Source organism: Homo sapiens, chromosome X, assembly GCF_000001405.40.
Source record: "Homo sapiens chromosome X, GRCh38.p14 Primary Assembly".
NCBI lineage: Eukaryota > Metazoa > Chordata > Mammalia > Primates > Hominidae > Homo > Homo sapiens.
In genome coordinates, this window is record NC_000023.11 from 104260406 (window position 1) to 104277902 (window position 17497).

Below are 17497 nucleotides of genomic sequence, written 5' to 3' on the forward strand. Positions count from 1 at the left end.
TGTAATATTATGGAAGTTTTGTGTTCATAGATTACGTTTCTGCTGCGGGTGAGGGTCCCCTGTCCCAGGTATGGTCAGTGGTATGGGTAGGGTAGAGGAGCTTTCTGTTCCTTAAGGTGAGTGGCAGCTTATTCACAGCCCTATGTGCTTTCTGATTCTTTCTTCTTCCTACAAGGGCACTCTGTAGTGAGGGAAATTTTTTCAGTCCTTTGCCAAAAGACCCTACAGCCCACCTCTGATTATTCACCACAACTGACAGCAAGAGTGGGGTGACTTCTGATGAAACATCAGTGAGGTGATATCTTTTTTTTTTTTTTTTTGAGGCAAGGTTATGCTCTTGTTGCCCAGGATGGAGTGCAATGGCACAATCTTAGCTCACTGCAACTTCTGCCTCTCAGGTTCAAGCGATTCTCCTGCCTCAGCTTCCCAAGTAGCTGGGATTATAGGTGCCTGTGACCATGCCCAGCTAACTTTTTGCAGTTTTAATAGAGATGGGTTTCGCCATGTTTGTCAGGCTTGTCTCGAACTACTGACCTCAGGGGATCCACCCTCCTTGGCCTCCCAAAGTGCTGGGATTACAGGTGTGAGCCACCACACCCGGCCATGTTATATCTTTTTATTAAATGCCATGAATAAATTATTCGTGTCAGAAGCCAACACTATGGCTTTTAAAAAAACTGGTATTACTTCTTAAAGATGTAAGGGGCACATGGAGGCTTCTTATACCCACCATTGGGAGAACCACAGTTCTCTGTTTCCTTCAGACTTTTTTTTTTTTTTTCCAAACAAGGTCTTGCTCCGTCACCCAGGCTGGAGTGCAGTAATACTATCATGACTCACTGCAACCTCCACCTCCTGGGCTCAAGCGATCCTCCCACTTTAGCCTCCCGAGTTGCTGGGACTACAGGTGCGCGTCACCATTGCCGGCTAATTTTTTTTTTTTTTTTTTTTTTTAGAGACGGAGTCTCTTCATGTTGCCCAGGCTGGTTTTGAACTCCTGAGCTCTAAGCAATCCACCTGCCTTGGCCTCCCAAAAAGCTGGGATTATAGGCGTGAGCCACCGTGCCCGGCCCCTTCAGACTAGAGATAGTGTCTGCACTGATGGAAGAAGAGGAAAAGTCGCCGAGGCTATTTACATATTTATTCCTAGCCTTAGAGAAGAAAAGAGGGAAGGAAAGACAGCCTGAAGATATCTGTTACTGCTGATAATTTTAAGTAGCACTAAGTGATTGATTTTTGCATTCCCTATCCTGTCCTGGAACACCACAGTCGTCTCAGTTTTTTTCCATGAAACCGAATCATTTGTACACTAAATCCTACTCCAGAGGCTAGGACATTGGGCTTCTTTGCTGTAACCAGGGGTTAAGGGTAAAATTCCATGATTTTTCTTTCTGTTTTGCCTGATCTCTTTGCTATTGTGACCAGAAAGCTTGTAGAATGACTACTATTAATGGCTACCATCATTATTGCATGAATTGGACGCCATCCCTAGGATTTCTTTGATCTAACTAGGGTACCCTGGACTCAAGCCTCAAAAGGCCTGCTTCCTCCAGCTATATTCTCTGCACAGATCCTGTAGAGGGGATACCTTTCATGACCTTCTTGATCCTTGCGATGATCTAGGTAAATAATTTGCTTTTAGTCTACTTCATGGTGAAAGAAAAATGCCATGTGCTAATTACCACTGGCTTTCAGATATTTCAAGTTCTAGCTTAATGCCCACCTCTTGTAGGAAGTCTTCCCAGCCCACAGCACTCTTGCCGTTTTCTGAGCCATTATAGCATTTGCAGTTTGAACTATATTCATTTTATTCTTATCACGCATCACCTCAGGCACTATGTGAGATCTGTCATATAATTTTATTAACCATTTTCTCCAATGTTTAATGTTTAGAATTTTCTCTTTTCCTTTTATTTTTATAACCAGTGCTTTTTTTGTATGTGAGTTATCTTTAAATACATGCAGACATGAATGCATGGATGTGTCGGTATGTATGTATACGGATGTGTGTATCCATTCCTTAATTAGATTGCAAACTCCTTCCACTTCATACATTTCTTAGTATTTTCAAAGCAGTACTGAGTACATAATAGACATTCAGTAGGGATTTGTTGATTGGCTGGCAAATATGGGGACTATGGGTAGGTGTGGTTGGCATTAGCCAAGGCAAAGACTCCTGCAGAACTTAACTAGCTCAGCGTGTTCACTGTTGCCCCTGCCCTCTCACTTTCCTTCCAGCTCTTCTGGCAGTTCAAAGGGCAAACTCTGGGGTGGCAAAATTCTTCCAAGGAAGAGTCTGGGATTTACTTCGTGATCTTGGTGTGTGTATGTGTGTGTGTATTCCAATTCAGTGTCCACATATTTTGTACAAGGGCCACAGACATGAGCAAGACATGGAGAGAAAGAAAACACATAAGAGATTTATTTTAAGTGAAAGCAAGTTTATTAGAGAAGTAAAGAAATGAAAGAATGGCTACTCCATAGGCAGAGCAGCGCATAACATATTTTAATATAAGGTGGAACAAGGCACATGCAAGAGAGGAGCAAAATAATCCTATGGGAGTTCAAAGGAAGAAAAGGTCAGTATATATTGGAAATATATGGAGGAAGTGAAATTCAATATTAATGTTAAAGTATAGTTGAGAATATGTTTTCACCTTTTTTTTTTGAGACAGAGTCTCACTCTGTCATGCAGGCTGGAGTGCAGTGGTGCAATCATAGCTCATTGCAGCCTTGAACCCCTGGGCTCAAGTGATCCTCCCACCTCAGCCTCCTAAATAGCTGGGACTACAGGCAGGAGGCAGGTGCCATGATGCCTGGTTAATTTTTAAAGAAACTCTTTTTTTGTAGAGATGGTGTCTCACTTATGTTGCCCAAGCTGGTGTTGAACTCCTGGCCTCAAGTGATCCTCCTGCTTCTATTTCAAAAAGTACTTGGTGTTACAGGCCTGAGCCACCATGCCCAGCTTTTTTTTTTTATTTTTAAAAAATAACTACTTGTTTGCTCTTAATCATAAAAGTAATGAATGATTGTTGTGATGAATTTGGAAACTATAAAGAAGCCAAAAATAACATAATATAAACTCACTCATAACCTGTTGATTATCTATAGATGATAATGAAAAATTTCTTTTTTCTATAATTTTTATATGTACTATATTCAATATAACTATCTGATATTCTGTCTTTGTGATCTTACGTTATATCATAAGCATTTTCTACACATTAAAAATTATTGGCCAGGCTCAGTGGCTCATGCCTGTAATCCCAGCACTTTGGGAGGCTGAGGTGGGCAGATCACCTGAGGTTAGGAGTTTGAGACCAGCCTGGCCAACATGGTGAAACCCTGTCTCTACTAAAAATACAAAAATTAGCCAGGCGTAGTGGTGGGTGCCTGTAATCCCAGCTACTTGGGAGGCTGAGGCAGGAGAATCGCTTGAACCCGGGAGATGGAGGTTGCAGTGAGCTGAGATTGCGCCATTGCATTCCAGCCTGGGTGACAGAGTAAGGCTCCGTCTCAAAAAAAAAAAACTACTAATGGAAAATATAGAATAAATTCCTGGGCTGAAGCGATTCTCCATCGTCAGCCTCCTGGCTAATTAATTTTTTTTAAGAGATGGGTCTTACTATGTTGACAAGGCTTCAGTATATATTTTTTGAATGAATAAATAGGTGCCAAGCACTATGCTAAATCTGTGACATACATTTATTAGCCATTTTCTCCAACGTTGAACGTTTAGGATTTTTCCTTTCCTCCCCTATTTTTTATAACCAGTGCGTTTTGGGCATGAAAAATTTATGGGAAGAATTTCAATGAGTAGAATTTAGGGATGGGAAAGGGAGTCTAGGGAGATAGCTCAATATAAAGAACATACTTACAGGCCAGTAAATAGTTCAGTTTGGCTGGAGATGAGCTAGGGGACACACGGGAGTCAGGGCTGGCAAGTGCTAATAGGTCTTCCCATTTGTATTACAGCTCCTAACTAAAAAGTGCCTTCACGACATGATTTTACATAATTCTTACAACATTATTATTTCCACTATATAAATGAGGAAGCCGGGCACAGTGGCTCACGCCTGTAATCCTAGCACTTTGGGAGGTGGAGGTGAGTGGATCACTTGAGGTCAGGAGTTCAAGACCAGCCCGGCAAACATAGGAAAACCCCGTCTCTACTAAAAATACAAAAACTAGGTAGGCGTGGTGGCACATGCCTGTAGTCTCAGCTACTCGGGAGGCTGAGGCAGGAGAATCGCTTGAACCCAGGAGGCGGAGATTGTAGTGACCCGAGATTGTGCCACTGCACTCCAGCCTGGGGGACAGAGTAAGACAAGTCTCAAATAAATAAATAAATAAATGCATACATACATACATGCATACATACATACATACATACATAAGAAAACTGAGAATCAGAGAGCTTGAGGGAACATTTGGCAATATCTGGAGATATTTTTGGGTGTTACAGCTGATGGGGGCTTGCTACTGGCAAGTGAGTAGAGGCCAGGGGTGCTGCTAAATATCCCACAATGCACAGGACATCCCCCAGAACAAAGAATTATTGGCTCCAAAATGACAATAGTGCTGAGGTTGAGAAGCCCCAAGTTAATATAGTATTGTACCAAGATCAGTTTTTTTTTTTGTTTTTGAAAACGTACAGTGGTTATGTAAGTTATTATCATTGGAAAAAGCTGAGTAAAATGTACAAAGGAGCTGTCTATACTATAATTTTTATAACTTCTGGTGAGTTGAACTATTTTAGAATAAAAAGTTACACTAAATAATACTAAACACTACTACTACTACTACTACTAGTAATGACTCCTCATTTCTTTCAAGATAAAGTCCAAATCCCTAAACATATGTTTCAAGGCCCCATTGTCTCTGGGCCTGGTGGCTCATACCTGTAATCCCAGCAAGTTGAGAGGCTGAGGCAGGCAGATCACTTGAGGTCAGTAGTTCGAGACCAGCCTGGCCAGCATGGTGAAACCTCATCTCTACTGAAAAATACAAAAATTAGCTGGGCGTGGAGGCTCATGCCTGTAGTCCCAGCTACTCTGGAGGCTGATGCATGAGAATCACTTGATCCTAGGAGGCAGAGGTTGCAGTGAGCCCAGATTGCGCCACTGCACTCCATCCTGGGTGACAGAGTGAGACTCTGTCTCAATTTATATATATATAAATTTATATATGTAAAAAATATATAATATATATAAATTTATATATGTAATATATATATTTATATATGTAAAATATATATAAATTTATATATGTAAAAATATATATACATATACATATATATTTTTATATATATATTAGATATATAATATATATTAGATATATAAAATATATATATATATATTAGCCCTCAAGACTGCCAGTCCTCAATGCTGTAATCCCTTTGGCTTTAAAAACAAAAAACAAACAAGCAAAAAACGGATTCTCACTCTGTCGCCCAAGCTGGAGTGCAGTGGCACGATGATCTGGGCTCACTGCAACCTCTGCCTCCTGGGTTCAAGAGATTCTCGTGCCTCAGCCTCCGGAGTAGCTAGGATTACAGGTGCCCGCCACCACGCACAGCTAGTTTTTGTAAAATACAGAACTTAATTGGATTTCTGTGTGTGTATGTGCGTGTGTGTGTGTGTGTGTGTGTGTAATTCTGTGAAATTTTATCACATGTATAGACCCCTGTTACCATCATGACAATCAGCATACAGAACTGTTCCATCACTCTAAAGAAACCCCTGGTTTCTTTGAAACTACCCCTCCATGGTGCTCTAATTCCTGGTTCAACTGATCTAGTGTCCATCTCTATCATTTTATCACTTCAAGAATGTTATATGAATGGGATCATGCAGATAACATTTGAGACTGGCTTTTTTCCCCCTCACTCAGCATAATTTCCTTGAGATTCATTTCAAGTTGTTGCTTGTATCAACAGTTCTTTCCTTTTTATTCCTGAGTGGTTTTATTAACCCATTCACCTGTTATGGAATTTAGGTTGTTTCTAGTTTTTGGTTATTGTGAATAAAGTTGTTATCAGCATTTGTGTACAGGTTTTTGTGTGCACATTAGTTTCATTTCTTTGGTATAAATTCCCAAGTGTGTGATTTCTGGGTTGTATGGTAATAGCTTGGTTAGTTCTTTTAATAAACTGCCAAACAGTTTCCTGGGGTGTCTGTACCATTTTATGCTCCTTTCAAGATGACTGATAGAGTTTCTTTGCATCATCGCCAACATTTGATGTTTCACTGTTTTTTATTTTAAGCCATTCTGATAGGTGTGTAGTGATACCTTGTGGATATCTAAGAAAATTTGGATTTTCCTAATGGCTGATGATGTTGCATATCTTTTCATCTGTTTATTTGCAATCTGCATATCTTTTTTTTTTTTTGAGACAGAGTCTCGCTCTGTCACCCAGGCTGGAGTGCAGTGGCTCGATCTCTGCTCACTGTAGCCTTCATCTCCAGGGTTCAAGCAATTTCTCCTGCATCAGCATCCTGAGTAGCTGGGATTATAGGTGCCTGCCGCCATGCCCTGCTAACGTTTTTTGTATTTTTTTTTTTTTAGTAGAGACTGGGTTTCATCATGTTGGCCAGGCTGGTCTCAAACTTCTGACCTCAAGTAATCTGCCTGCCTTGGCCTCCCAAAGTTCTGGAATTAGAGGCATGAGCCACCGTACCTGGCCCGAGAAAGAATTCTTGAAGAAGGAACCTGTAGAGGCAAGGAGATGAATTAGAAGGCTGTTGCAGTCAGCTAGGTGAGAGGTGATGATGGCTTGGACCAGATGACAGAGGTGGAGAGAAGAAACTGGCTTTGAGGTTTATTTTTGGGTGTTTATTTTTGAGGTGGAAATAATAGGGCTTGCTGATGGACTGAATGTGAGAATTGAGGAAGAGGAAAGTGTCAAAGATGATTCCTTAGTATTTGGCTTGAGCCAGAACATGACACCATTTACTGAGAGGAATATGGGAAGGACCAAGTTTTAGGGAAAGAGGGTGAATTCAATTGTGGATGTTTTTAGTTTGGGGGCTGATGGGCCTTCCAGATGTCTGTTATATCTAATAGATGGTTGGAGATACAGTCAGAAGCAAAGAGGAAAATCAGTGTTCTACATATTGATATCTATACTCACACACCTGTGCCCTTTGTATCATTTCAATGAAAACTGGATAACTTTGGTACTCAAAGGTGGAAATTGGCTGGTTGTGTTGGCTCATGCACTTTGGAAGTCCCAGCACTTTGGAAGGCCTAGCCTGGAGAATTGCTTGAGATCAGGAGTTAAAGACCAGCCAGGGCAACATGGCAAAACCCCATCTCTACCAAAAAACTACAAAAATTAGCCGGGTGTAGGGTCACCCACCTGTGACCCTAGCTACTGGGGAGGATGAGGTGGGAAGATTCCTTGAGTCTGTGAGGTTGAGGCTGCAATGAGCTGTGATTGTGCCACTGTACTCCAGCCAGGCAACAGAGGCGACCCTGCCTAAAAAAAAAAAATAAATAAAAATAAAAATAAATGGAAAGGACTTCCAGGCCCTCAATAATTTTAAAAGGACTACTGTTTGCATTACTTAGCTCATAGGTGGAGGTGTGAGTAGAAAGGGATTTGTAACCTGGTTTCTTGAGGCATGGGCAGTAATTATACAATAGCTGATGCAAATGAACGTGAAGAAGTCATACAGACAATGAACTCAAAATGTCTATGTGCTGCTTTTAAAATCTACTGCTGAGGTATTTACCTGGCATATGCTATGTGGACAGGTAGAGCTAGTTTTCATTTCTGGCAAGAACAACTGGAAATGCCTGAATCAGAGTTCTATTTATACTTTTGAGGGTGGTGGTGGTTTGAGGGGAGGCAGGGTGGAAATAAAAACTGTAACTCATTTTGTCTGTGCTCTTATTTACTCAAAGAGGCAAGATTTGGGAACTACTACTGTATTCCAATGAGTTGGGTACAAGGTCCTGCTTAGGAGGAGACATGAGATGAGGCCTGTGGATTGTTTGTCATAGGGAGGGTGAATTACAGACTTGGGGCTGGAGTGCAGTTGCATGAATACAGCTCATTGCAGCCTTAGCTTCCTGGCCTCAAGCGATCCTCAGCCTCTTAAGTAGCTAGGACTACAGGTGTGCACTACAACATCTGCCTAATTTTTAAATTACTTTTTGTAGACACGGGATCTCACTCTGTTGCTCAGGCTGGTCTCAAACTCCTGGCCTCAAGTGATCCTCCAGCCTCAGCTTCCCTAAGTGCTGGGATTATAGGCATAAGCCACCACACCTGGCCCTTGGGGCTTCTAAAATGTGTTCTCTGGGCAGCTGGGCGCCATGGCTCGTGCCTCTAATCCCAGCACTTTGGGAAGCCAAGGCAGGTGGATCACCCGAGGTCAGGAGTTCGAGACCAGCTTGGACAACATGGTGAAACCCTATCTCTAATAAGTATATAAAAATTAGCTAAGGTATAACGTGTATAATATGGAAAATTTTAGTACAGAAGCAGGTACAATCCCAGTGGTTGACTTGGGCAATGTTTTAGCTATTTGTCTTCCTGTATTTTAAGAAAAGTGATTTGAACTAGGAGTTAAATAATCATGTACTAATTCAAAATACACAGTACCAGAAATGTGCAAAGTGCAGGAAATCCAATGACAACAAGGTACAGGCTTCTTAATGAAAGAGGCACACTTCCTGTCCTCCAAGTGTTTGTAGTCTAAGACATTTCACCAGACAGCCTCGCTATTTTGCATGAACAAATACATTGGTTTGCCTCACTGGAGGGGGATCTCAGCAGTTCCAGGCTGAGTGGCATCTCAGTCGAGGTTGGATGGTGGGAGCTGGGGGAAAGGTAAGACCAGCCTGGGGCTTAGGATTTGATGGATAATTCCTGAAGTTCATTCACAGAGACAATTGGAGTAAAACGGATTGACCTAACTTGAACTTCTTAAAAGGTGTCTAGACCGGGCACGGTGGCTCAAGCCTGTAATCCTAACACTTTGGGAGGCTGAGGGGGGCAGATCACCCATGGTCTGGAGTTTGAGACCAGCCAGGCCAACATAGTGAAACGTCGTCTCTACTAAAAATACAAAAATTAGCCAGGTGCAGTAGTGCACACCTGTATTCCCAGCTACTCAGGAGGCTAAGGCAGGAGAATTGTTTGAACCCGGGAGGCGGAGGTTGCAGTGAGCCAAGATCATGCCACTGCACTCCAGCCTGGGCCACAGCGCGAGACTTCATCTCAAAACAAAACAAAACAAAACAAAAGGTGTCTAAAATCCAGGTCTACACTTAGTGAATGGATAAATAGTTTACATCTAAAATTTTTTAAATTGGTGACTTTGGATCTGTATCGATAGTCCATTTCTCTTAAAATATATGGTGATACCAGATGTTTTAAAAGAACGTTCTTCTAGGGGATGAATGTTCCCTTTGATAGACTTTAATCTCATGACATCCCCATTTCTCCAGGAGTCATAACCCCCAAGATTGCTCTACCAAGGGAGCTGTCTGCTTTATAATACAGGAGATTCCTACAGAGAATGGTGGTTATCAGAGACTGGGAAGGGAAGAAGGAGGGAAGAAGATAAGTTGGTTAATGGGTACAAAAATACAATTAGATAGAATGAATAAGTTCTAGTATTTGATAGTCCAGTAGGGAAATTATGGTGTGCAAAATATATTGCATACTTCAAAACAGCTGGAAGAGAAGAATTGTAATGTTCCCAACACAAAGAAAATATATATGTTTGAGGTGATGGATATCCCAATTACCTTGATTTAATGATTACGCATTGTAGACAAGTATCAAAATATCATATGCATCCCCCAAATATATACAACTGATATATATCAATACAAATAAAATAAAGGAGGTTCTCCTTTTAGGAGGTGGAAGAATGGCGACTAAAACAGGGTAAGCAATCTATGCTTTCTACTTGTGCTACTCAACTTTTTCTTAGGTTGTGATAACCCTGGGGACTTGCTAAATCCCCTAGTGGTGACCGTTCTTCACTCCATCTGCCTTTCTATCTCACAGCCAGTGCCCTTCTAGAGCTCAGTTTTCAGCCCTGAAACTTAAAGCCCCCACCTCCCGCTTCCCGCCTCCTGCCTCCGCTAATTCCTCACCAGTCCCGGCCACCCTGTTTTATTGCCCACCTGAGTGATAACCAGACTTGAGTTAGGCACTCAAGGTGCCATTTCAGGAGAGTAATAAAGGCTCCTATGATCCCCCCAGTCTCCTTCATCAGCTTTGAGGCTTTAAGGCATGGAGTCTTTTCAACATTCAAATCTCCCTTGAGAGGGGCACGTTCTGCCATCATGCTTATCATCATTATCAATTTCTTACACTCCCACATCTGTTGTGGTGATTATCATCATTATCAGTCTTACACATGAGTGGAAATGAGTGCTTTGGGCAAAAGTATTTGAGGAAGGGGAAAGAGGCCAAGAAGAAAAAGGGGTGTATGGGGAATCGAAAGCACTCCAGCAATAAGGCAAAAGGGGGCCGGCAATGCAGGCCGACACTGAAGCTGAACTTTGAAGACATCACAGTTTTGCTAAGGTTGGAACTATCACTGCATCCCTTTTCTATCCCATCAGGAGGAATCTGCAAAGTGACCTGAAGATTCCCAGGACTCAGCGCTCACGTAGATACCTTCCTCAGTTGCTGAAAAATCCCTGAATTACAAAAAGTAATTTTAGCACGCCCTCAGGTGGCCAAATGGAATACTGTGGCAATGGCTTTTGATGGAAGTTGGCACTCTGGAGGAACATCTCAGAATAGACGCTGGTTCTTGGCAAGCTGCTAGGCACCCGGCAGGGCAACTTGTGTGTAGATGGCACTCTTCCCTTTAGGGCACCGCTTCCCAAGCTGATTGGTATAGCAGCCCTGAAATAATCTTACCAGGTTTATTTTGAATTCTGCATCTCTTCCTCTTCCTCTTTCTCCTCACAATGCTATGTGATATAGGTCTGTTTTTGAAATTAAAGTGAACTTTTTTAAATTTAAAATTATTATATGTTTTTAAACTAACTGCAGCGACCTCTAGTAGCACCAAAGATAATTTGTGTATGGATTTCCCATCTAAAACAGACTAGAGGGACAAAGATGGATTTTAAACTTTTGAATTTTGGGATATTTCAGATTTACAGAAAAGTTGCAAAGATAGCACAAATAATTGCCATTATACTCTTCACTCAGATTCCTTCAAGTTAAAATTTTACCACGTTAGTTTTATCATTCTCTCTGTAATTATAAATATGTATATATTTTTCTAATTCGAATATAAATTATATTCATGATGCTCTTTTATCCTCTAATACTTGTGTGTGTATTTTCTAGACACAAAGACATATGCTTATAGAACCACAATGCAACTATTAAAACCAGGATATTGACACTGATACAATACTATTTTCTAATCTTCAGACTTTATTCAAATTGGCAAATTATCCCACCAAGGTCCTACATAGAAAATATAAATACAGGATCCAATCCAGTATCGCTCATTGCATTGCATTTAGTTGTTGTGTCCCTTTAAGTGTCCTTTCATCTGAAATATTTCCTCAGTCTTTCTTTGTCTTTCATGACCTTGATGTTTTTAAAGAGTATATGCCAGTTATTTTGCAGAATATCCCTGAATTGGAATTTGTCTGATGTTTCCTTATGATTAGCTTCAGGTTATGCATTTTGGGTGGGAATATCACAAAAATTATGTTATTTGCTTCTCATTGTATATGATGTCTCTTTGTTTTGACCACAGGTTTTGACATGCAGATGTCAGAATAGTTAATCTTGAAAACCGCACATTCAAATAAGGTTTCCTGTAGACTCATGGGAATTTGTTATGGGGTGGGACAAAAGCAAGGAACCTGGAGAAATCATCCACTTTCCTTTAATCAATCTGGGAAAGCTTTTTGGAGGAGGTGGGATTTCAGGAATTTCGAGCTGAGACAAGTGGTAATTTTTTAGTGGAATATTTTGATATGTGAAGATCTTAGTTCTTGAGTTCTCAGGGTTTTTTTTTTCCTAATCTTCCCTTGAGAATCAGAAGCCAAGGCTCCTGTGTTTTAGTTTAATTGCTGCATGACACTGGGGAACAGCCAGGTGGTTCTTTTCCTGATTCCCTAACCTGGGAAATGACGATTACTCACATAGGTGGGGAGCCCTTTGAAAGGTTTGTCTGGAGAAAGGGATTGAGGACATGAATGTTCGTAAGCCAGATTCGCTGTGGCACCTAACTGAACTTGCTCCTCTGGGCTCTTGTTCTCTACTACAATCAAATTTAATGTGTTTCTCTATAGTTTTTTATTTTATTTTATTTTATTTTGAGACCAGGTCATGCTCTGTTGCCCACGCTGGAGTGCAGTGGTGCCATCATAGCTCACTGCGGCCTTTAACTGCTGGGCTCAAGCCCTCCTCCTGCCTCAGCCTCCCAAGTAGCTAGGACTACAGATGCATGATTACCACCATGCCTGGCTTTTTTTTTATTTTTTATTTTTTTGAGACAGAGTCTTGCTGTGTCGCCCAGGCTGGAGTGCAATGGCATCATCTTGGCTTACTGCAACCTCTGCCTCCCGGGTTCAAGCGATTCTCCCTCGTTCAAGCGATTCTCCCACCTCAGCCTCCCCAGTAGCTGGGATTACAGACACATGCCACTGTGCCTGGCTAAATTTTGTATTTTTTTTTGTATTTTTTTGTATTTTTAGTAGAAACGGGGTTTCACCATGTTGGCCCCAAAGTGCTGGGATTATAGGCATGAGCCACCACATCTAGCCTTTTCAATAAATTTCAAAAACAAGATAAAAGAAAAAAGCAAGAGGATTTTTGTTTGTTTGTTTGCTTGGTTGGTGGGGTTTTTTTGATAGTTTTTGAGACAAGGTCTCACTCTATCGCTCAAAGCAGAGTGCAGTGGCACAATCACAGCTCACTGCAGCTTTGACCTCCTGGGCTCAGGTGATCCTTTTGCCTCAGCCTCCCAAGTAGCTGGGACTACAGGTTTGTGCCACCATGCCCAGCTATTTTTTTTCTAGGGATGCGGTTTCGCTATGTTGCCCAGGCTGATCTCGAACTCTTGGGCTCAAGCCATCTACCCGCCTAGACCTCCAAAAGTGCTGGTATTACAGGTGTGAGCCACTGCCCCCAGCCGAGGATATATATTTTAATTCAATGTGGTGGTTCAATATTGTGATTCTTTAAGAGAAGCAGGAGGATATGAACAGGGAGGAACTTAGAGAAAGCTTCAAATCTGACCATGTGTTAGTTCTTCAGGAGGCTGGGAAATTCATAGATGTGATGGCTTTATTGATGTGGGAACTCTGCTAGGCTATAGTTCCCAGTTATTCAATCAAACTAATCTAGGTGTTTCTGGGGAGGCATTTTGCAGATATATTTAAAACCCATAATCAGTTGACTTTAAGTAAGGAAAATTCCCCTTGGGTAATCTGGGCAAACCTAACTGAATTTGTTGGAAGGCCTTAAAAGCAGGTTTGAAGTTTCCCTGGAAGAGAGAAAAGAATCTGCCTATTCCTGTAGGGGTCCCTACTGCTCATTATTTCCCCTTCCTGACTGCTGCCCTATGGTTTTGGACTTGCTTAGCCAATGCCCATATCGCATAAGCCAATCCCTTGTAATGAATAATACATATATCCATCCTAAAAAATAATAAGTAACTAAATAAAAAACATCGCCCCAAATTTCTAGTTCCTGGTTTAAAGTTCAGAACTATATCATGACCACGCACAGAGGCTCATGCATGTAATCCCAGCACTTTAGGAGGCCAAGGAGGAAGAACTGCTTAAGGCCAAGAGTGAGACCAGGCTGGGCAACATAGCAAGACCCTGTCTCTAAAAAGAAAATGTTTTAAAAAATTAGCCAGGCGTGGCCGAGCACAGTGGCTCACACCTGTAATCTTAGCACTTTGGGAGGCTGAGGCAGGCAGATCACCTGAGGTCAGGAGTTCGAGACCAGCCTGGCCAACATGGTGAAACCCCGTGCCTACTAAAACTACAAAAATTATATGGGTGTGGTGGCGGGCACCTGTAATCCCAGCTACTTGGGAGGCTGAGGCAGGAGAATCACTTGAACCCTGGAGGAGGAGGTTGCAGTGAGCCAAGATCGTGCCATTGCACTCCAGCCTGGGTGACAGAGCGAAAATCCGTCTCAAAAAAAAAAAAAAGCAATTTATTTAAAAAATGATGACACTATATTTATCTGAGGTATGCTGTTTTCACCTAACAGATTTCTAACATGTATACATTTTGGTGTGAGTAGCTGATGTTATTCATTTTTACTGCTATGTATTATTACATTATTTGAATGCACCACCATTCCTTTATCTATTATCCGATTTATGGTTATTTTATTTGTTTAGAATTATTTGTTATTCAATCAATAACTCTTTGAAGCTTTTCATACATGTCTACTGGGTCACATATTTAAGGGTTTTTCTGGGTCAACACTTAAGATTAGAATCCCTGGGGATTATGTTGTAAATCCGGGTTGAATTTACAAGATATTTATACAGTAGTAATATCAATTCACTTTGCCTTCCTTAGTATAAAGATCTAGATCTTTGCCAACAACATGATATTATCAGGCTGTATTAGTTTTCCATTGTTGTCACAACAGATTACCACAATTTAGTGGCTTAAAACAACACAAATATATCCTCTTAGAATTCTGGAGGCTGTAATTCCGAAGTCAGTTTCACTGGGCTAACGTCAAGGTGTGAGTAGGGCTGATTTCTTCTGGAAGCTGTGGGGGAAATACCAAATATCTGTTTCCTTGTCTTTTTCAACTTCTAGTGACTGTCTATATTGCTTGGCCTGTGGCCCCTTACTCCACCTTCAAAGTGCATTGCTCTAATCTCTGCTTCTGTCATTGCATCAGAAAGATGTTTGTTTGTTTGTTTGTTTTTAAATAACAGCAACAGTCATAACTTTTTAGGCTCCAGTGCTTAGCTGCATGTGCCATTTTTTTTCTTTCTTTGTTTTTGAATTTTGTTGGCTGTTTTGGGATCCCATAAGTTTTGATCTGCCTAAAATTTATTTCTAAAGTATTTCCTGAGCTGTGACTGGTGCTATAGAACTGCACTGACCATTACCTAAAGATGTGGAGTGCTTCTGGCCACTGACCTTTTAAATGCCATAACAGCCTGATTGAATATTTGATTGCTTATAAACCTCTCTCTGGCACTGCACTTATAATCTTGAACTTTTAATATTCTGACACTGTGAATCTTTAATCAGGTGTGACTGTCATAACAAGGCAATGTAATTTTCCAGTCTTTGCACAGATGTTTTCATAGTTTAAATAGAGGTGCTTATAATATTAGTCTACAAAGGAACTTTTTGCATCAACCAAAGATCAGAATAAAACCACAGCAGATTAAAAGAAATATATTTTCACTGGATGGGTGATGAATACTACCCTGATAAATGACCTGGTTTATATAGTTAGTAAATTTATTTAATAATAAATATTATGAATATTAAATATGTTTATTTACTTAATAAATGTATTGAGTCACTATTCTGTGCCAAGCATTGTACTATGGGTTTTGATATGATGTTATATAAATACAGGTAAGACACAAATGAATGAATGTTTACAATATGGGGCATGTAGCAATGGGGGTAAACATGAGGTGCTCTGATACCTAATCTAATATTGGGGAGATCCAGGGAGAACTTTGTGGACACAATGATGTCTAATCCATCCTATCCATCACCAAGTCCTACCTACTGCACCTCCCCCAAAAACGCATCCCAAATCCTACCAGTTCTCTCCACTTTCACTGCCTTAGCCCAAACACAAGCCTCCATCATCTTCCATAATAGCTACATAACTGGTCCCCACTAGACTGCAAGCTCCAAAGGACAAATATTTTTGTCTGTTTTCTTCGCTGAGAGATCCCAAAGACTGTCTAACATGTAGTGGGTGGTCAATACATATTATTAATATTATTATTTTTTTGAGATAGGGTCTTGCTCTGTTGCCCAGTCTGGAGTGGAGTGGTGTGATCACGGATCACTGCAGCCTCGACCTCTCAGGCTCAAGCCATCCTCCAGCCTCAGCCTCCCGAGTAGCTGGGACTACAGGCACACACCACCACTCCTGGCTATTTTTTTTTTTAATTTTTTTGTAGAGATGGGGTTTCACCATGTTGCCCAGGCTGGCTTTGGACTCCTGGGCTCAAGAGATCCAGCTACCTCGGCCTCCCAAGGTATTGGAATTATAGGCTTGAGTCACCGCGCCCAGCCCCATAAATATTCTTTTGTTGTTGTTGTTGTTGCTGCTGTTGTTTTTTTTTTGAGACAGAGTCTCATTCTGTTACCCAGGCTGGAGTGCAGTAGCACAATCTTGGCTCACTGTAACCTTCTCCTCCTGGGCTCAAGCGATCCTCCCACTTCAACCTCCTGAGTAGCAGGGACTGCAGGTGCATGCTACTGCACCCAGCTAATTTTTGTTATTATAATTATTATTACTGTTTTTCAATAAAGATGGTGTTCTGCCATGTTGCCCAGACTGGTCTCGAACTCCTGGGCTCAAACCATTAGCCTGCTTCGGCCTCCCAAAGTGCTGGGATTATAAGCGTGAACCACAGTGCCTAGCCTCCATACATATTCTTGAATAAATAAATAGTCTTTTGTCTTACACTACTGGCCCACTGCAATTTAGTAGCCAAAGAGGTATTTTTAAAAATGCAATTGCATCATCTTCTACCACCCCCATCTCCCTCACCTCACCCTCTTACTATATAGTCCAGCAGTTCCGAAGTAGTTTTTCAGTTCTTGGAACATTCTCATTTCTCATGAATCCATTAGGCAAACTGCTTTTAATTCTAACAGTTCAGATCAAATATTCTTGCCCTCATGGAGCTTACAATCATGTGAGGATGATAGGCATCAAACAAGTAAATAGATTAACAAAACAATTTCAAAAGTGATGAGTGACGTACAAAAAATAAAGCAAGGTTAAGTGAAAGAAGAATTGGCTATACAGTAGCTACAGCAGACCTCTCTGAAGAGGGGACCTGTGAGCTGACACCTAAATGGTTTGAAGGAGCCAGGCGAGCAAACTGGAAGAACTTTCAGGACTCTTCAGGAGGGAGGAAACAAAATGCAAAGACACTGCAGGAGGAGCAGCTTTGCTTATTGAAAGTAGCATGTGAGGATGGAACAAAGTAAGCAAGAAGGATAGGGTGAGGGTGTTTTAGTTCATAGCAAAAAGTTTGGATTTTATTCTAAATGTGATGGAAAGCCTGAAACCATCCCATCACCTGCAGAACAAATCTCAAATTCTTTACTATGGTACCCCAGCACTGAGTGATCTTCCTTCTTATCAACTTTTCTTCCCCTCTCCCTTCTTGGCCAGCCATACTGGTCTTATTTCTCTTCTTGGAATACCTCAAACTTGTCCCTGCCTCAGGACCTTTGCACTTGCTGTTCCTGATCTGGAGTGCATTTTCCCTAGATCTTCCCATGCTGACTATTTCTTGTCATT

At 41.2% G+C, this 17497-nt stretch overlaps 1 annotated feature.

Annotated features, from left to right (window-relative positions):
• Positions 10744-10928: a silencer, noted in NCBI's record as "fragment chrX:103515830-103516014 (GRCh37/hg19 assembly coordinates)". NCBI's record gives its function as "represses an EF-1alpha promoter that drives an FKBP-Casp9 reporter gene in an ReSE screen in HepG2 liver carcinoma cells {active_cell/tissue: HepG2}" and the evidence as "EXISTENCE:reporter gene assay evidence [ECO:0000049][PMID:32094911]".